This window comes from Homo sapiens, chromosome 2 (genome assembly GCF_000001405.40).
Source record: "Homo sapiens chromosome 2, GRCh38.p14 Primary Assembly".
NCBI lineage: Eukaryota > Metazoa > Chordata > Mammalia > Primates > Hominidae > Homo > Homo sapiens.
This window is the reverse complement of record NC_000002.12, coordinates 137,651,733-137,673,857: the sequence shown is the minus strand read 5'-3', so window position 1 is coordinate 137,673,857 and position 22,125 is coordinate 137,651,733. Positions and strand designations below refer to the sequence as shown.

General features: G+C 36.8%; 1 protein-coding gene across 2 annotated transcripts in view; it reads right to left on the bottom strand.

Annotated features, from left to right (window-relative positions):
• Positions 1–22,125, bottom strand: part of THSD7B (thrombospondin type 1 domain containing 7B) — a 912,174-nt gene that overhangs the window by 3,861 nt on the left and 886,188 nt on the right. For both annotated transcript variants that reach the window (NM_001316349.2, XM_047445935.1), the window contains exons 22-27: positions 18,198–18,357; positions 16,889–17,062; positions 16,698–16,793; positions 14,112–14,194; positions 10,283–10,475; positions 5,997–6,084 (exon numbers count right to left, since the gene is read on the bottom strand). In NM_001316349.2, the coding sequence (NP_001303278.1) occupies positions 5,997–6,084; positions 10,283–10,475; positions 14,112–14,194; positions 16,698–16,793; positions 16,889–17,062; positions 18,198–18,357 (794 nt within the window). The remainder of the gene's footprint in view (positions 1–5,996; positions 6,085–10,282; positions 10,476–14,111; positions 14,195–16,697; positions 16,794–16,888; positions 17,063–18,197; positions 18,358–22,125) is intronic.

The following is a 22,125-nucleotide window of genomic DNA, read 5'->3' as shown; positions in this document are numbered from 1 at the left end:
CAAAATCACAGTTACGAATACATGAGATCTGAGAAGTTTTATGGCTTTGAATAGATCAGCCTCCTCTCAAATATTAATCTCTGGACCACTGAACATGGTAGTACTTTGCCGAATAGCAGCTTAGCAAGGCTTTCTGGCCAGTAAAAAAGAACCTCAGGAGGAGGAGCTGAGGGGCAAGACTGCACTCAGCAAGGCCAACACTGAGGAGGCCAGCAACTAGGAGGCTTGTCTTTAGAACCTCTGGCTTGCTTTCCTTTCTCCCTACAGTATCCACATTTTTCCTTTAGAAGTAAGTTTATTTCTTATTTTTTCCTCCTCCACTCTGGTTTCAGAAAAGGTATGTTCACCTCCCTCACTCACTAAATCAGGACCCATAAATGCCTGGCACATATGCCACCAACACCACCAGTCATCCTGTGCCCAGGTGGACATCTCTAATCCATCACTCTATTCTCTCCTGTTGAGCTGAGGTGTAGCCTCATCATTCTTCCTAACAGCACTCTTGACAGCCATAGCCACTTTTAGAGTTGGCACACAGCATAAAACCATTTTGCAATCCTAGCTGTGAAAGATCACTGGCAGACACATTTTAAAGTTACCTCTTTTAGGGTCATTTGCATTTTAGCAAAGGACAAAAATGAATTAAGCCAGAAAAGTGAGCTCATTGTGGACTGACAAGCAAGCCTCTGGCACTTCTCAGCAAGGACTCATTCTCAAGCCAGGAGAGATTAACTAGTTTGATGAAAGCAGCAAACCACATTTTGTTTTGGCAGCCATTTGTGAGAGACAAGCCTTTGGAGGTGCAAGTACCACTCTCAAACTTGGGAAGAATAAGAATGCATTACAGAACTGTGCTGGGCCAGGCAGAATGGACATTATTATCTGGTGTAACTTCCAGGTGCTACATCTAGGTTAACAGCAAGTTCATCCAGTGGTCATCCCCATTAAATTGCTTCATGGATATTTACTGCCAGAGGAGAAGGGGCATCAATAATATTTCTGAAACTCCAAACACTAATGGTAGATGTTCAAAGGCTAGTATTTGAAAGAAGTAGTCTTTAGAAGGCTATTTTTTTGACATTTTCTCAGAAGCATTTTCAAGTTTTACTATAAATTGCTTTCATCTGAAGTATACACCAAAGACCTGGCATATTATAGCAGTTCTCTTGTCCTAAGGCTTCTGTTTTTGGCAAAAATATAAAATCTCTAAAACTGTCATCCTGTAACTCTTCTGCAATCCATTTAATAGAATTAGATGCTGTGAAAATATCTATTTGGGTTTCTTTGGCGGCTCATATGTAACAGTAAAAGGTACGTGTTTTTATAACAATAGGTCTGTAATAGGTCAACAGCTTACTTTACCTGTGAAACAAAAATCCTCTAGGAAATGTGGAAGCTATAGACATTATGTTGAGTCTAAAGAGTTTTGGGCATCACTCAAGAGAAAGAAATCACAATGACTCAAAGACCAGTAGAAAGAGCATGAACTCTAGGGATAGGCAAACTCTAGGGAGAGGCAAACCTGGGGTTGATTCTACCATGCTGGTGACCTCAGAAAAGTTATATAATTTCACTACGGATCAATTACTCTTTAAAATAGGGATGGCAATAGCAACACCTCCTTGAATTATTATGATTGAATAAGGCAATGTATGTAATATTTGACATATAAATATTAGATTTTTTTTCCTATACTGTTTTTCTAAAAATCACGGGCAATAAATTAGTTTATACTAATACATTTTATATATTTGCTCAATAAATCTTTATCAAATTCATGCTTTAAAACAATCCATAAAGCATAGTCATTACCTCTCCCCACCCAAACTCCCTGGAGTTTGATAGAGGAGGAAGATGTTTATATAAATAACTACAATATTATCAATCATGGGGTAACTACCACGACAAAAGAGACATGAACAAGTTATTCCAGACTGTTTAAAAAGGAAAATGTTGGTATTTGAGTTTTACAGGGATTAATGAACAGGTAGAGTACCAATAGCTAGCAAGGGGAAACAAGGAGTAAGCCACAGAAGCAGAAACGTCCTTGGAAAATTAGAGGGGCAGTACCCTAAGTGCCTGATACGGTTAGGCTTTGTTTCTCCACCTAAATCTCATCTTGAGTTGTAATCCCTATAAACCCCATAATCCCCACATGTGAAGAGAGAAACTAGGTGGAGGTAACTGAATCATCGCTTCCCCCATGGTGTTCTCATGATAGCGAGTGAGTTGTCAAAAGATGTGATGGTTTTATAAGGGGCTTTTTCCCCTACTCTCAGCACTCAATCCATTCTGCTGCTCTGTGAAGAAGGTGCCTGTTTCTCCTTTGCCTTGGGCCATGATTGTAAGTAAGTAAGTTTCCTGAGGCCTCTCCAGCCCTATATAGAACTGTTGAGTCAATTAAATCTCTTTCCTTTATAAATTACCCAGTCTTGGCTATTTCTTCTTCATAGTAGTATGACAATGGATTAATATAGTGCCCTAATGTGAAATTATTCCTCCTAAAATTATCTTTCAGAAAGAGGCAATAGTCTTTTATTCAATGACTATAAAATCTTTTACATAATGAGGGGCTACATTTGTTATACCACAAGCTTTTTTTTTTTTTTTAAAAAAAAAAAAGCAAATCATAAATATACACACAACACAAATAAAATGGCCATCTCCCTAATATATGCAGATAGGTATTTGGATGTTAGGATAAAACTTCTGAAACAGCAGCACAAAGAGATCCAAAGAAGTGCTGTATCGCAAACAACTTGGGTGGAAATGAATATACTAAACCTGATACTGAAGTGAACTGTGGAAAGAAAGACTAAAGCAGTGATAAGAGTGACTTATCTGAAAGGTAGATGTAGACATTGAATAAAATTCTATTATGAATATGAAATTAGAGAAGACAAGCATTTTTTTTTTTTTTTTTTTTTTTTTTTTTTTGAGGCGGAGTCTCACTCTGTCGCCCACGCTGCAGTGCAGTGGCGCAATCTTGGCTCACTGCAAGCTCCGCCTCCCGGGTTCACACCATTCTCCTGCCTCAGCCTCCGGAGTAGCTGGGACTACAGGCGCCCGCCACCACACCTGGCTAATTTTTTGTATTTTTAGTAGAGACGGGGTTTCACTGTGTTAGATAGGATGGTCTCGATCTCCTGACCTCGTGATCCGCCCGCCTTGGCCTCCCAAAGTGCTGGGATTACAGGCATGAGCCACCGCACCTGGCCGAAGATGAGCATTTTATATAATGAAATACTGTATTTATATATGATGTAAGATAATAAATGGAACTATAATTTAGCACATTGATTAAATATTAGCATAGACAATTTACTCTCTTATCGAAATCAAAGTTTATTTAAAAAGTCAATTTTTTTTCTATTTTAAAAAATTTTCCTTGTTAGAAAATGAAGACTTAAATGTGTTTGGACCTATACAACACACCAGCCTGTACAGGGTATAGGGAATTAGTAGCAGATAAATTTGAAAGAGTTTTTTGGGCTCCAGTTGTGGAAGACTTTAGTCAACTGGTGAGGCAGCCAAAACATGACTTTAGTTTTGCTGTCAGTGGGAAGCCAGAGCTCATCTATGAGTAGGAAAGGGCTGATCCCTGGAGCTAAGCTTCAGAAAGACGAATCTGGCTGTAGACTGCAGATGGGAGCCGGTCCAAATATGAGCGCTACTTCCACAGGGACATTATTAAAGGCAGACATTGGGGATCAAAAAAATGGCTATGAGATACAATATGCATAAATATTTATGTAATTTGGCTACTGAAAAGTAAAGAGAAATTTCATTGGTATTTTATACTTAAAAATTCACCAAAAAGCAATATATCCATGTAGCAAAACTGCATTTGTATCCCATGAATATATATATATAAATGCTCTAGAAAGTGGTTTGTTAACAGAATTCAATGATGTACCTAATTAATTCCCAGAGCCTAGAGTCATGCAGAAAGGGGCCTTAATAAATATTTGTTGTCGAAGGAATAGATTATGGTTAACACATTTTTAGGTTGAAGGGAATGGAGGAAAACAAAAAGGAAAAATGTATGTGTTACTACACGTAAATTTTTAATCTTTTAAATACTTAGGGGAAATGGGAACCATAGAATCTAGATTTGGGGATATGGCTACTAACAGCTAGAATTCATCTAAGCTTTTATAGACCGATAGACTATCTAATTACCTTACACTGGGTTGGCCTACTGATTGCTTTGAAAGCAGTTTCCTATTGGCCAAACCTTCGTGTCCTTTGCTGCAATTTAAGAAATTTCCTCCTTGTTTTAATCTTTTCTGGTGGTGAATGCTTCCTATTCCTTTAAACCTCATACAAAGCTTTCAAATTCACATTTGTTCATTAAAAGTAGATCTAGGCAATACTAGCCAAACATCAATTTGAATAAAGAAAATCAGTAAAAAAAAAATTGATTCTAGGATGAATGACCAACTGAAGATGAACTTTTCACTACAACAACAGGGAAATGTTAGTTGGATAGAAATCTAATTTCTAGGGATTCAATTTCTATCACTGTAGGTGGCAGAAAGAATTAAAGTCACCTTATTTTCTTCATCAACTTTCACTGACCAAGAGCAAAAATTTAAAAACCTGTGTAGCCTTGGAAACAGAACTTGAGGTTAATAGACAATGGCTGAATTTGAATCAAGATTAAAACTTGGGTAAAAACTCTCCGGAAAATAGTCTCTGGGACAGATGATGAATATAAATATATTTATTAGGAGAAAAAATTGAAGTAACACTTTGATCTCATTAAAATTAAAAAAAATCCATTGAAACTTCTGCTCAGAAAGCTGATATAATATTCTTAGCACACTTGAAAACATTAAAATCTACAGTTGACCCTTGAACAACACAGGTTTGAACTGCATCAACTTATATGCAGAATTTCTTCCGCCTCTGCCACCCCTGAGACAATAAGGCAAACAGCCCTTTCTTCCTCCTCCTCCTCAGCCTAGTCAGTATGAAGATGGTGAGGATGAAGACCTTCATGATAATCCATAACTACTTAGTGAATAGTAAATATATTTTGTATTCCTTATGATTTTCTTAATTACATTTTCTTTTCTCTAGCTTACTTTATAGTAAGAATATACTATATAATTCATATACAAAATATGCGTTATTTGACTATGTTATTGGTAAGGCTTCTGATCAAAAGCGGGCCATTAGTAGTCAGGTTTTGGGGGAGTCATAAATTATACTTGAATTTTCGACTGTGTGGGGAGTAGGCACCCCAGTCCTCCTCACATTGTTCAAGAGTCAACTGCATTTACTTCTGTCTGGTTTCAAGAGCCGTTCATCAACTTAAATATATTCTGTATGATAAACTAGTTATTATTTTCTGAGATTAATAAATTCTCAGAACTAGTCACTTTACAAAATGGTTTTTTTTTTTTGCAAATGACCATCAGTTAAATTTTGTCTCATAGCTGGTCAATATAGCAAAACAACTTGCTCTACTATTTAAAATGTGCTTACAGGTTCTTTCAACCAACTGGTCATTTTAACCTAACCATTCAAAATTTAAGAACAAAATTTAAGAACTAAAATAATCTATGGTAATTTTCTTATCTGTGACCACAGATTAGAATTACCTGAGAAGCTTTACAACACCCAGATGACCTGGCCACACCTAAGACTAATTAAATCAGAACCTCTGGGGAGTGAGATCAAGCCTGATTCCCTAGGAGACATCAATGTATTGTCAAAGCTGAAAACTACTGATCGAAATCAAAACATGCAAATGGAAAAGTTCTGACCAGTGATTTTCATATTATTCAAATACCAAATTTAAAAAATGTTATCTCAAATAAGAACAAAAAAATAATGATTCCTCATTTCAACCATTCAGCCATTCTACTGTTAATTTTTGGACTCAAGAATCCTGTTATAATGGGCAATGATCCTGAGATACTTGTTTTAAGTATAACATGAAATCCATAAAAATACGGAACATAAACTTTTTACTAATTAGTACTTACCAAACAAGGTAGGAAGTAAATATTAGGAAAATCATGATGAGAAAAGCGCCACCTGAAACGCCATAAACCCAAATTTTTACTCGGCCATCTGTTTAAAATAGAGATAACATAAGAAGCTTAGCATACAGAAGTCTGCAGCATTTGAGAGATAGGGCAACATCAGATCTGACAACCCCAAGCTGACCATCAGTTCTGTACTTGAACAGCAGCACTTTAGCCAACTGTGCACTCAACTGCAGAAGTTAGCAATGCTCTAGCATACTCTGTAAATTGCCAGGTATAATCAGGAATTAAAAAGATTCTCTTAGAACATCATAGGAATACGGGTTTCCTACTAGAAATTATGTCTATGAAAAAAACCTTAAATGTTATTACATGGTACCATTTTTAATGAACTTTTACAGATAAACAGTTTGCATTGTTGTTTGATTTTTAGCAAATTAACTCTCAAAAACATTAGGTTGTAACTTCATGGCACCAAATGTTTATTTTACTGAATGTTTTACTTTTCTTCTGAATTCTGAGACACGCATAAGTCAGTCATAAGCATAGGTGGAAATACACATAGGTAACAGCTCTCAAATGAAGAAAAAAAGCGAAAATGTAAAATGTAAGATAGTCAATCAAATTTTTTCATAATACCAAACAAACACTGGTAATCATTAGTTCATAAAATCCAGCCAATTGTTGGGCTAATTTGAATTTATTTTAAGGTGTTTATAGTCATATGCATATACAAAAATATGGCAAAACATTTGACAAAAAGAACAAAGAAAATTATAATTAAGAGACAACCTTGCATGGAAAGAAAACTACTATGACCATTTTTAGTGGCTCTACTTCCAAAATGATGCTAGGCAAACAAAAACCACATGACCAAACAAGTTAATCAATTCACCAAATTACTGTAAAATTATGACCATGTGTCTGCAAGTACACATTATTCTGGATCTGATATCTACTACAGTTAACAAAATGAATCAACCATATATTTTAATCTATTATGTTACTTTTATTCTATATAAGATATAAGCTTGAGTATATATACATATATTCACAAATATATATATGCTTTTTCTACATGTGATAGAAACTTGAGTTGTTTCTGTCACTCTAATGTCTTTTTGCTCTATTTTATATGAGCATATAGCTAACTAAACTTAGAATTGGACTGACAAAGGCAATGTCTCAGCATCCCAAAGGAATTGCATTTATTTCTGGAAGAAACACACACAGAGATTCATTATACTACACGAATGTAATTAACTACAGGTCCAAAATACACATAACAGTATCTTATTTGAAAAGCTTCTATGGGGGGGGGAAATCAATCAAAATCTATTGTAAACAACACTTGTTTTGAATAAAATCACAATTACTTTCAATTACATTACAACTACCTATTATAGTTTTTGCTTATAGGACACTTTCAAGTCTCAATCAGATTTTAGAATGAGGTTCAATGTAGTAATTGTATTTTTCTATGGTCATAAAACTTTTACCAAAGCTTTGATTCTAATCTCTTTGAAACACTAATGATGAAATGGCCTAATCTGAGTTTTTACATTGATCAAAAAAAAAGTCTTTCCTGAGTGAGAATGCTCCTTATAGCTTATAATCCATAACAACTTATGGATTGGTGCATTGGGAGGATCCAGTGCTTTTAAATACTCAGTTTAGAGGTATGTGGTGGTACAAAACCTTTAAGCCATGTTACTTAATAAAAGCATTAATGTATTCTGTAAGAACATAAAAAAAGATAGGCTAAAACTTCTAACTATTAAAAAAGATAATAGTGAAAAATAAGTCTTCCCACCAACCTCTCAATTCCCTACCCAGTAGCTATTACTGTTACCAGTTTCCTCGTGAATCTTTCTAGTTTTTCTCTGTATATGCAAGCATCTGAGCACACACATACCAATTCATACACTTCTTAAAAAGACACAAATGGTGCATATCATTCACTTTGATTTGTACTTTTTCTTTCACTAAACAATATAGGTTGGAAATATTTTCATATTAGTTCATAAAAGAAGGTCTACCTCTTCTTAGTATCCCTGTGATAAACCATGACACAGTTATATCATATTTTGGTTTTCCCATTATTCTATTTGTGGGCATTTATATTGTTTTCATTCATTTGCTATAATAAGCAATCATGTAATTCATATAATTTACGGACTTCTTTTAGTATATGTGCATATAACTGCATGATGAGTTCCTTAGAGGAACATTTTAGGTCAAAATATATGACAGGTAAATAAGTATATTAGTATGGCCTAACTGTCCTCCTGACAGGGTGCTCTAATTTATACCCTCACCATGAGAACCTAATGAAAGTTGTAAACTCTCCCAAGACCAAATATATATTTTATATATACTTATCTATATATATAGATACAAATATAAACACACACACACATGCAATTTATATACCAATATACATATATGTGTGAATACATAAACTTTTGTGTATCTAGACACACATAGACACACACACATATACTCACACATATGATATTGCTGTGTTAGTTAGATCTCCAAATTCCATCCATGGATAAAAGGTTAAGGGCTTACTTGTGGATTTGAAGACTCATTTCCCTGGGACCTCAACTTAATTCTGTGTCAGAAATAGGATCCACAGGCAATGGGTGAACCTGGCTATATTTAATATCATGCTTCCTTCAAATTTAAATCTACTTCTAATTTAGCATTAAAGCTAATGAGATGTTTTTAAACACCTTTGGCATTCCCAGACACATAGGGGAAGCAAAAGTTGACTAAGATATGGTGGTAATTCTTAAAAGTTGATTGAGGGGTATAAATATTGCTTCTCCTGTTAGATCTGTGTTTCTTTGGGCCTGGGCTTTGGATTTTGCTTCATTTAAACAGGTCATCAAGACATTTCTGGTATGGCTAAGGCCTAGGGTTTGGAAGGAGAGTTCCTAGGGTATATTTGCCTGAGTTTTTCTGTGTTTTCCCTTCCCATGCCCTAGGAGTTAATGTTGCTTTGCTTGATCATTTGTAGCATTTTGTTTCCGAAAGAAGTATGTCTGATGGCCACAGAGACTGGCTTTCCCCTTCTATCCAATTCACAAAGTAGGAAGCAGGGACAGGGGTTTGTAAAAGCCTAAAAGATCTGCCTTTAAAACCTTCCTCTGTCACTTGCTGGTGGTGTGAAACTGATAAAATTAACCTGCACTGCCATTTTCAGTTTCCTCATCTCTCAAATGGGATGATAACATCTCATTAGGTTGCAAGAATGTAATGAGACATTTCATGCTGTACAACCAGCCAGCACAGAGCCACAGGACACACAGAAAGCATCTAATAAATGTCCATTCCTGCACTTAGTAAGAGTCGATTACTGAGCCCTACAGGCCTAATACTGCAATATCCATGACAATCCTGCAGGATAAATACCACTAGATTGGGTTTATAGATGAGAAAACTGAGGTCCAGAGAAGTTAAGAAACTATACATAATCACAAAACAGGTGTGTGTAAGCCATGGGTCCAGTAAGGTCTAACTTTGAAACTGATACTCTTTACCTTTTCACTAGTATTTCTTGAAGCAAATAGGATCTCTGGACATTTCTTATAAGTTCTTGAGGTTCTATTCCAATTTTGTCATTTTAGTTATATATACAAATTCAGTTATAAGAGTAGATCATTTTTCAGAGATAATTTAGGATTGAAAGATATTTTCAGGCCGGGTGCAGTGGCTCATGCCTGTAATCCCAGCACTTTGGGAGGCCAAGGCGGGAGGGTCATTTGAAGTCAGGAGTTCAAGACCAGCCTGGCCAACATGGCGAAACTCATCTCTACTAAAAATACAAAAAAATTAGTCAGGTGTGGTGGCAGGCACCTGTAATCCCAGCTACTCTGGAGGCTATGGCAGGAGAATCGCTTGAACCTGGGAGGTGGAGGTCGCAGTAAGCCGAGATCACACCACTGGACTGCAGCCTGGGCGACAGAGTGAAATTCTCTCCCCGACCCAAGAAAAAAGAAAGATTTTTCAAAGAATATTATTTTTGTTACTTAACCCACTGTTTCTTAGACTGAGGTTGAGAGACTTACGTTCAACCATTCATGAAAACACTGTACACTTAAAGGGACTCATATATCATGTAATATTCAAATCTGAGAAACCCTGAATTATGCCTTACTGCCTCTTTCTTCTCTCCTCTTTTCCTCCTTCCCTCCATTCTTTCCATCATGAGAAGTGGTCAAAATATAGACCTCCCATGAGAAAATTTTCATTTCTTACTCACAACTGAAACTCACCTGGATCAAGTGGTTGAAGAGACCATCCTTTAAAAATATCATGTATTTTTGAATTCACAGGTCTGTTTTTCCCAGAAAGGTTTTTCACATCAGCTTTTTTATCCTCTGAGCCTGGTACTTTCATGCAGTAATCCAGGAAACCATTTGATTTCATTATCTCTGTATAGCCCTTCTCACAACCACAGACTCCACCCTACAGCATAAAGAATATTTTTATGGTTACACAGTGAGTTGAACAGGTGAATGAATAAAAATATAATGTTAAAATCACTTAATATTTGCACTATACATCATGGCAATGTAGGGTTTGGGGCAACTGACTTACCAGTGACATGAAAATCAAATACATAGTTCATCTTTTTAAATTCCAAAGTCAGCTCTTAAATCAAATGTTAGGTTTTTCAAATGTGTTTACAATTCTGACACCTGCCAAATATTAAACCATAGTTCTTTGTGAATAAAGTTAATTAACTATGCTTTTCCTCTCTCTTTTTGTCTTTTTTTTTTTTTTTAGATGGAGTTTCACTCTGTTGCTGATGCTGGAGTACAATGGCACAATCTCAGCTCATTGTAATCTCCGCCTCCCAGGTTCAAGCACTTCTCCTGTCTCAGCCTTCCGAGTAGCTGGGATTATAGGCACCCGCCATCACACCTGGCTAATTTTGTCTTTTTTTTGTTCTTTTAATAGAAACAGGGTTTCACCATGTTGGCCAGGCTGGTCTTAAACTCCTGACCTCAGGTAATCTTCCCACCTCGGCTTCCCAAAGTGCTGGGATTACAGGTGTGAGCCACCATGTCTGGCCATCTTTTCCTCTCTTATGGAGATGTTTATGGCATTTAATCAAATTATCTTCAACTCTTATCTCCATTTGTTTCAGATCCTTGCCTAGTTGCTCCAACCCACCCTTCTTACTGAGAAGCAAAGCAACAGGGATTATGTACATATCTTCTTTGAATTAAGTGTTCTTGCTATCACAGCCGCGAAATCCCTCCATCACCTTTTACCATTGACCACTAAATGTTAGAGTAGGTAGCTAAGAAGACATAAGCAGGGCAGGAGAAGGGTCCCCCACCAGGAATGTCAGGCAACCATCAGGTGATGGTTAGGCAGCTGTTAAACTGTCTCTCTAAAATAATAATTGGTTGCAGCGAGCACGAGGGAAAGGCAGTCTCCCAAAAGATAGAAAACACCTGGCCGGGCGCTGTGGCTCACGCCTGTAATCCCAGCACTTTGGGAGGCCAAGGCGGGTGGATCACAAGGTCAGGAGATCGAGACCATCCTGGCTAACGTGGTGAAACCTGTCTCTACCAAAAATACAAAAAAAAAAAAAAAGAAAAAAAAAAAATTAGCCGGGCGTCGTGGCGGGCATCTGTAGTCCTAGCTACTTGGGAGGCTGAGGCAGGAGAATGGCGTGAACCCAGGAGGCGGTGGTTGCAGTGAGCCAAGATCATGCCACTGCACTCCAGCCTGGGTGGACTGAGCAAGACTCCATCTCAAAAAAAAAAAAAAAAAGAAAAAAGAAAACACCTGAAGCTGGTGATCAGTAGCTTCCTAATAAAATCTCAGGAGCTGGGCAAATGGGCTCAACCGTGCTCACTAAGAGGCAAAATGGAGGAGTTTAACTGGTATATGATCTTCCTCTAGGAACACACAACTTGTAAGGGAAAAATGCCTAAAGTGAGCATGTGTACAACTTCAGTAAACACGCTGTGCATGCGGCCCCTCCCAAGTCCTGGCAGGCCACTGTGGATGGCCACTATGCATGTGGATGGCGCACCCTAAGGGAAGAATCGGGGGAGAGGGAAAACGACCTCTACCCCTGAAGCATGCCAACATATAAAACCCAAGTCAAAGGTCAAAGAGGGCACTTGGCCTTCTTCCAAGTGTACTTTACTTCCTTTCTTTCCTGCTCTGAAACTTTTTAATAAACTTTCACTCTTGTTCAAATACTTGCCTCAGTACAAGCATAAGTACATTCTGCCTTATGCCCCTCAGATGAATTATTTCCTCGGAGGAGGCAAGAGTCAAATTGCCGCAGACCTGTATGGATTCGCTGCTGCTGACATAACCATGTCAAACTACGTCTCTGCTTGTAGGCTTACTTCTGCACTCAAGGAGGGCAGCCTTACATGGGAGATAAAAGACTTCACCAAAGACGCATGCTCAAGAGAAATATACCTATGCCTATCTGAGTTACTCCTTCCTTGTAATAACTCGAGTGTCACCCCACATCACATCTCTAGTTGGCATTGTGACAATGGGTCTTTTATATTAGTCTGTAAATTTCTGGTCATTTTTAAGTACAATGAATGTCACCAAGAAGCAGATTATTATGAGACATGATGGATGAAGATTCCTATCTGTCTCTGGAAGTGAACTTGAAAATAACTGCTCTTCCTCCAGCAAGTATACAGACAATAGAGAAGAGTGGAAGAGAATAAGCATAAGATTATGAATCTCTATGACTTCGCTCTTATGGCTCCTTACCTAAAGCTATTTATCTAGCATTTTCTGAACAGACCTTAGCTTCACATAGCTACTCATGCCAATCCTCATCAACCAGTTAACTTTATTTAGGTCATCAATTATTGACTGAACACATGATTTTGAGGAGAAACAGATACTAAAAGTAAACAAAGCACCTCAATCTTCTACAAAAGAAAAAAAGTAAGAGCACATGTTATAGTTAACAGCCTATAGTTTAGTTCAGGTTGCATTCATATAATAATAACATAAATATGATATTTTCAGTTGGTTTTAATTGAAAGTATCACAAAATGATATCTTCATATCACAGTGGAGATATCTAAGCAAATTTGTATGTGCTTAGCTATTGAAGCCATATTCTCAAGATGCATCTCTATTTTTAGCATGAGATAAAACTTGTAACCAGTCAGTCATATGTTCAAGAGTTCAAGGAAAAAAGTATTTTCTGTTTAATTAAAGAGGACATCCAGAGAGTTGGTGAAAAGCTACAATTTCTACTTTTTAAACATCATTAACCCAAATGGAGTTGTTCCTGAACTTCCCCTCTTTTCCTTCTATTCCCCTCTGCAAGCTGACCCACTGTCTTTTCTGTGGTAAAGAATTAACCCATCTTGATTTGTAAGGCCAATAATAGGACTGAGTACTTGAATTATTTTTAATCAAATCACTTTTAGAATAGGCATACTATAAGAAAAAGCTTGTTTCTTTAAAAAATGTAGTATAGTTTTTAAGAATTATAGTGCACTGCACACCATGAGTGCCATTGATTAGAATACATTACATGTTTTACATTAATTCCTGAGTTGTGGTAGATGGGAGTTATAGGAGAAAAAGCACAAATAAATTTCTGCTTTGAAAAAAAAATACATGCATAACCGCCACCCCATACACATATTTTTTTCAACCATAGTCACATATTCAGTTTATTTAAAATAAACTAAAAATGTACTCACTCAACAGTAATCATAGTGTAATACAATTTGCATAATAACTTTAGCAAATATGAACATTTATAGTATCTTTCAAAATAGTTGAGGCGTATAAAAGGTTAAGAAGAGAAGACATAAGTCAACTGAGAATACTTACTGGTAAATAGAGCTAACATAAATTAGGTATTTGAAAGATAGATTTGGCTAAAGACAGATTTATAGAAAAACACTGTTAATACATGGTCCTGACGAGAAATTCTTTATAACTGGGATTACTCCTGCAAATGCCTCTAGATGGTATCATGGGCACGTGGAACTGCTGCTTGGGCTGCAGCCGGCAGGAGAACATCTGATTGCATGTGTAAAACACAGCAATTAATGCACTTATAGAAGACTCCAGCACATGACTCACCTGTGTACAGTAGGAGAAAGGTTTTCTGCAGGCTGGAATGCACTGCCGAATGGCAGCAGGACGGGCCTGAGGGGAGCAGCCTCCTGCAAAGGAAATTCCACCATCATTTGCAGATTTCTCTATTAGATATTTCTAATTTTTTGGTATTTTTTTTTAACCTGTGCCACCGGCCTCTTTGCAACAGTATTATTATTTTTGAAAAATCTATTTGCCAACATTGTGGTCCAAGCCTATTTTATTGATTACTCTAAAATGAATTGAGATGGGAGGCTCTTCTAACAGAGGCTATTTGCAGTAGAGTTTTTATACTGTTTATTGGCGATGTGATTCTATCATACGGCTATGCTTGAGCACAAAGTCTATGTGAGCCAGAATCTGTAGAAGAATTGATAAAATCTAAATTTAAACTCAGGAGCAGAAAACATATCTGCTGGAATACTCCTTCTACATATATACTGCTTCAGCTCCTGAGCACCCAGGTAGGCACTAGGCCGATTTCAACAACCCAGGAAATGCTAAAAGAATGCCATGAATGAATTCATGGGACCATGGTATCAAATATGTTGGTAGTATTTTTAAATGTAAGTCAACTGGAATACATGCACACAGAGTCACGTATAAACACATTCTTAAGAGCAAGCACCGAAGCTCTAGGAGAGACAATCAAACATCTGACACAGTACTTGTTCCTGCTCCGTACATATTTTTGAATAAATGGATGAGACAATGTATGTCTCTGTAACTGGAAAATCATTTACATACTAGTCTTACTTTGCTAAATTCAAGATAGTAAAAGAGACATGAGACAAAGCCTAGAGAAAATTTGACAAAGCACCATTTATATAGTACTGGTTGCATTGAAAGGTTCTAGCGTTTGGATAAGTACAATTGTCAACCCATTATAGTTTATAGTTTTGTAGCTAGCAAAAAGCTCTGGGCCTAAGGCAGAGTAGCGAACAGTCAGACCTACATTGTCCCTGGGAATGAAGCAGCTAAATTCTCACTGTGACTTGAAAAATAACACAAAGAATCCACACAGAAATTTTTAAAAAGCAAAATTCACAGTCCAGAATTAGCATCTAGGTGTGAAATTGATAATTTCGGTGTTAGTGGCAATAACCACACAGTCCTATTTCTACCAACTGTGTTGGTGCTGGCAGGGGGAGGGTTTCCGTTCTTTCAACCAGGGATCTCCACAGCAGGCGTACTTCAGTGGGAGGAGGGCTCTTGGGAATAGGAAAGAAAATCTTGGAATTTACATAGGTTATAGAACATATTTTTTAATTCTAAGAATTAAATTAAGCTTTAATAATATTTGTCAGATGATACTGATGACCTGAGCTTCTTCATCAGATGATTACATGTTATACACTGTGCCTGAGGAATTCCGTGCAGAGAATTGATAGCAAAGCTCCTACCAGTACGTTAACTCTCAGTGTATTGCAGAGTATGATGCCTTCTGTGTTCCTGACTAGGGAGACTTAGAGTATATTTAGTTTTAACAACTTACAAAAAAGATAAGTAGCTTAAAGTAAATTATTTTGTGGATAAACTTTAAATTAAAAAGAATACCAATAGTGCAAGAGCAAGTAAACAAGAAAAAGGAGGAGCTGACAATACTTCTATTCCTATAGGCATTTCAGCTCTTGCACAAGCTCTCTGTAAACGATAGTACTAAGTAAAAATAATGACAATTTAATTTGCTGACAAGAAAGCATTTAAAAATCTCAAAAATTGGCCGGGCGTGGTGGCTCACGCCTGTAATCCCAGCACTTTGGGAGGCCGAGGCGGGCAGATTATGAGGTCAAGAGATCGAGACCATCCTGGCCAACATGGTGAAACCCTGTCTGTACTAAACACAAAAATTAGCTGGGCGTGGTGGCGTGTGCCTGCAGTCCCAACTACTCAGGAAGCTGAGACAAGAGAATCACTCAAACCAGGGAGGCAGAGGTTGCAGTGAGCCAAAATTGTGTCACTGCACTTCAGCCTGCTAAATGGTATCTGCCATCATGAATGAGGGACCTCTTGCTCAGTCTATATTTAGATATTAAGTAATAATCATGACTCACAAAATATTCAAAAACTAAGCTGCTAGTACATGAATACAAATACCTGTAATTTACATCATAAAAGCTTTCTGCATCATTAACATACAGAATATTTTAATTTTTAAATTTTGTCTTTATTAACCTCTTTAGTTTCAACTTCTGAGTATGTTTTATGTCAGGTGAGTACTGCACACACACATGCTAAGATATGTCCTTTGAAACGTTTTATTGAGAAGGGACATGATTTAAAATTTTACTAGCATCTGTCTTTTTCAGTCTTTATCTCAGATCATGATATTTAAGGACATTTTATTGCATTTCAGCTTATTTCTTTAAGTTGTTTGATATTTTTATAGGTCTTAAAATTGAATTGCTTTCTTTCTAAGATGCAAACGTCTAATGAAAATTTGTAATAAAATTCATCTAAGCTACCTGCCCAAGTCACCCCTTGTTTATAATTTGTAAGCTAATTCTTCTCACAAATAACAACACTCAGGGGTGTTTGTGAAGTGCCCACATGAGTCTTAGGCAGGAATACCTGTGACATTAACGCCATCTGAACGCTGGCACCATACAGTTCGTTCGTTATTGTTCCAAAGACTTGCTTTCCATGTGTAGTGATAACATTTGCCTCCTGTAAGTAAATATGATAATAGCAGTTCTATTACACCTCACTTAGAATAAGCATTGATCAATGAAGGCTAAAGAACTGAAAAGTGCTCTTGGTACCTGTACAAGGGCGTGTTTCTAGAACCTGTTGGGGGCAGCTGTCTTGGTTCTCAAAAGACTGAATTATAAAAGTCCTTGATCTAGACTGGCGGCCCACAGTCTCAAAGCTTCTTCCATCAATGCAGGTTAATTCACATGTGCTCCACTCTGACCATTCTGTTAAATGGCAGTCTCCTGGACAGTCATGCAGTACAGGGTGGAGAAAACAGCATGAAAAGTGGCACTGGACAACATTTGCATGGGCAGGGCTCACACAGAGATTTGCAGTGATACATGCAGTTCCTGATACTACACATTCTATATTGATCAATTTTCCAATCAGAATGTACTAAGAATGATGAAGTAATTTATAGTTTAATCTTGTTTAACAAGAAAGTGCCAAAAACTAGATTGTTATTACTTTGCTTCAAATTGTAGTAGTCACATCTAGAAAATATTATGTATCTGCTAGTGTTAATAAAACTTTTAAAAGAGAGATATAAAGATTATGGTAACTCAGTGTTCAAAGATCAGAATAACATCATAAAATGGATGTTCATAGAAACCATATAAAAGAGAATAAGTAGGTCACTGAAATGAACTATCTTTTGGACCAAAGAATGTTTAATTTAATACCCTAAACATCTTTCTCACTCAAGAAATATAATTTATAATTTGTATAAATGTATCTTTATATAAATTATAATTTTTTTTGTAATACATATGTGTGTATACATACATACACATATGTTATATACTGTATTATAAAAACATATTGTCACTTGAACTTATGCCATACAAACTATGTTGTGTTACTAGGATTAAGATAAACTGATACATTTTATGTAACTAATAAAATTTATATAGAACTTCACATTTATATGGAACTTCACATTTACAGAGTGCTTTCATGAACTCATAGCCTTACTGGTTCCAACCATGCCATCACCCAGAATTCAGCCAACATTTTTTGAACGCTGTCCAATGTGCTAGGTGCTGTTGGATACGGAATTAACATCACAGTTTCTAGATGAAGAAATCATTGCTCACAGGGGCTAGACTACATACCCCAAGTAAAACAATGAAGTGATAGAGACATGATTCTAACTTAGCTCTTAAGTTTCCAAATCCAGTGCCTTTTTTTTTCTTTTGCCTACTTTGGCTCCATCAAAGCCGTAGGTATATACCAAAGTGATAACCACAATTAAAAATGAATTAAAGTTATTTAAAAACTTTAATTTTGATGAGCTAGAGCATCTCTAGGAAAACAGTAGTAAAATAAACAAAAAGATCACCATGGGAGGCGCTCCCAATCACTAGCATTGCATACCTGGGCAAGGCACAGAACACAGCTGCTTCAGGATGCTGTCCTGAAAGGGCATTTCTCCACACAGTGCATCCTCGACACGTCCAGCTGCATGAGATATTGAACCACTGTGGACCATGCAGGAAAGGCTGCGGATCTGAACTCCTTCCCCACAGTCTCCACCCTATGAGAGGAAAGGATACTTTCACAATTACCCAAATAATTCACATCTCAAAGTTTTGGCTCTTGCCACCTCTTGCCTAAGAAGACCATAGTTGCATATTTTCGTAGCTTCCTCTTCTTGTGAGCTATCTCTCAATTGTTGACAATAAAGCATCCCTGAGCAACACTGCCAGAGCTGATAGAGAAGCTTCAGTGGGAATGCAAATCATGCCATGGAACCTATGTACTTAGAATATGACAATTCATTTTGGAACTCAGCCAAGATTGACTAAAAAAGAAAACAATACATAATTTGTCTAGTTGTATGTGATAAAATGACCTAATCTGTAATCACCAATGAGAACATATAAAGTTACAGGGCATAAATTTCTTTTATTTTACCTGTTTTTCTTTTTTATAGAATTCAGTACTTTTTTCTATGGATTAGGTTGAGGTTTCTAATAAAACACGGTTTTTCTCTGTTGCCACAAGAATTTGTTTTCACAGCATGCCTTCTATGCTGAATAATGTTCTTTGAAGACATGTCATACCCATCTCACTTAGATATTCTAGGCAATTAGAAAAAATTTGTACAGTGTCTCACAGAAACAGAAGCTTAGAATTGGATGGCTCCTAATGGTAAACTGGCCCAACGATCTGCCTGATAAAGGGTTTCCTACTATAAAATTTTTGGCAGAGAAGACTTCAGCTCCAAAATGTCAGCATAGAAGCAAGCTGGCTTCACCCTTCCTCCAGCCCCCCACAGAAAACCAAAAACAAATATTCAATGCTGAGACTATCATCAGCCATATCTCAGAGCTCAAATATGAGGATAAGACAGTTCCTGGTGCCACAGAGAAGTGAAAAAACTCAGTAAGTGGTAAGGGAATCAGACTTCCATATCTGCAATAGCCCTCCCCCGAATCTGCCCAGAACCAAGTGCACAGAAAATTTCCCCTTTACTCATGGTTTCTGTGCTGCAAAATGTGAGATTGAGGTAGATAACCAGCTTCCCCACCATCTTCAGTATCCTGGCAGGAGGCCTGTCCCTGCCTCAACCCACCGGAAGCATGGGAAGTGCCTGAAGAAAGAAACATCCCTAAGGACATCCAGAGACAAAGAGGGGAGGGATGACTACTATCCTCCAGCTCTGAAAACTCTGTTCTGTAATTCATCCAAAGGAGATACCAAGTCAAAGTGGCTGTTCAGCAGTACCACGCTGTAGGAGGTTGGTTTCACAGATCCCCTAGGCATGAACACCTACCTAGCCTTCTCACACTATTGGGATATCCCCTTGGGGACCTCCCCTATTCATGATAGGCAGCACACTAATTGTTTACTGAAGCAAAGCAAACCTAGGCTCAAGATGCTATATAGTGCTAAAAAGAAGGCCAGAACTTAGCAGTAGAAAAAAAGAAAGAAAACCAACAGTTAAATTACGAAGAATTACTAAAAAGTAATATCCAGTAAAAACCAAAACAAGCCACACTGACAAGCCTGGAATTAATAGCTAAGCCTTCCACATAAAGACAGAGAGGTACGTCCATTAAAAAAACAAGGGAAACAGGGAAGCAGGACCACCCCAGATGAATAAAGAAAGGAACCAGTGTGTGATCCTAACAACATGGATATGTGAGCTCTCTGAGCTAGAATTCAAAATAACAATTTCTAGAATACTCTATGATCTCCAAGATAACACAGAAAATCTATTCAGAAATTTATCAGAGAAATTAAACAGTTTGAAATAATAATTTTAAAAAATAGAAATATTGAAACAACTACATTTGCTGAACTGAAAAATTCATTAGAGGCTCTCAAAAGCGGAATGGATCAAGCAGAGAAAAGAATTAGGGAGATCAAAGACAGGTTATCTGAAAATACACAGTCAGAGGAGAAAAAGAATGAAAGGGAATGAAGACTGCCTACAAGATACAGAAAATTACCCCAAAAGACCAAATCTAGGATTTATTGGTGCTCAAAAGAGAGTTGAGCAAGAGCAAAGCGTCGAAAACATATTCAAATAAAAAACAACAGAAAACTTTCCAAAACTTGGGAATGATATAAATATCTAGGTACTGCAAGGTCAGAGAACACCAAACAGATATGACCCAAATAAGACTATCATAAGGCGCATAATAATCAAACTTTCCAAGGTGAAGGAGAAAAACAGGACCTTAAAAACCTTAAGATACAATAAGCAAACAACATATAAAGGAGCTCCCACTTATCTGGCAACAGATCTTTCAATGGAAATCATACAGGGTAGAAGGGAGTGGGACATTTTCAAAGTTCTGAAAGAAAAAAAATCCACTGCCCAAGCATACTGTATCCAGCAAAGTTATCCTCCAGATATAAAGGCAGGATAAAGTCCTTTACAGACAAACAAAAGCTGAGAGAATTCACCACCACCAGACTTATGAGAAATGCTAAAGGGGGTTCTTCAGTTTGAAAGAACAAAACACAAATGTGCAAAACGAAATCACAGGAAAAATTAAGCACATGGACAAACATGGAATATCCTAATACTGTAATTGTGGTGTGCAATTCACTCATAACTGAATTTGAAGCCCCAAATAAGCATCTATCAAAAATAATAACAGCTACAGCAACCTAAGAATGATAATATAAAAATATGTCAATTGAGAAAAATGAAAGTCAAAATGTCGGGGGCAAAGTGAAAGTGTAAATTTTTTTGTTTGTTTCTATTATTTTCTTTGCAATCTAAGTGAACTTGTCATCTCTTCAGAATAACTTGTCATACAGGATATTTTTGTAAGCTTCGTGGTAACCATAATGCAAAAACTTATGATAGGTTTACCAGAAGTAAAACGCAACAAATTAAAACATACTACCAGAGAAAATAACTTCACCACAAAGGAAGAGGGGAAAAAACTAAAAGAGGAGTTACAAAACAATTAGAAAACAAGCAACAAAATGGCAGTAGCAAGTTCCTATCAATAACACTGAGTGTAAATAGACTCAATTTTCCATTTAAAAGACATAGAGTGTCTGAATGGATAAAGGAACAAGTCCCAAGTATATACTGTCTACAAGAAACTCACCTTACCTATAAAGACACATATAGTGAAAGACATTGAAAGTGAAAGAATAAAAAAAGATATTCCATGCAACTGGAAACCAAAAAGAGAAGGAGCAGCTGTATTTGTATCAGCTAAAATAGTCTACAAATCAGAGACTGTAAAAATAGACAAAGAAGGTCACTATTAAAGGTGTCAATTCAGCAAGAGGATATAGCAACTGTAATTGTTGATAGACCCAACACTGGACTTCCCAAGTATATAAAGAAAACATTAATAGATTTAAAGGGAGAGAGAGAGAAAGAGAGATCTCAATACAATAATAGTAGAACATTTCAACACTCCACTCTCAGTAATTGACAGGACAGGCACATAATCAACAAAGAAACACTAGAGTTAAACTACATTATACCAAATAGGTCTAACAGATATTTATAGAATATTTCACCCAATTGTTGTAGAATATACATTCTTTTCATCAGCACATAGGACATTCTTCAGAATAAACCATATCTTCGGCGACAAAGCAAGTTTCAACAAATCCAAAAAAGTAGAAATCATATCAAGTATGTTTTCTGATCACAAGGGAATGCTGTTAGAAATAAATAACAAGAGGAACCTTAAAAACTACACAAATACATGGAAATTAAACAACATGCTCCTGAATAACCAACGAATAAATTAAAAAATTAAGAAAATGTAAAAATTTCTTAAAACAATGAAAATGGAGATATAACAAACCAAAATCTATG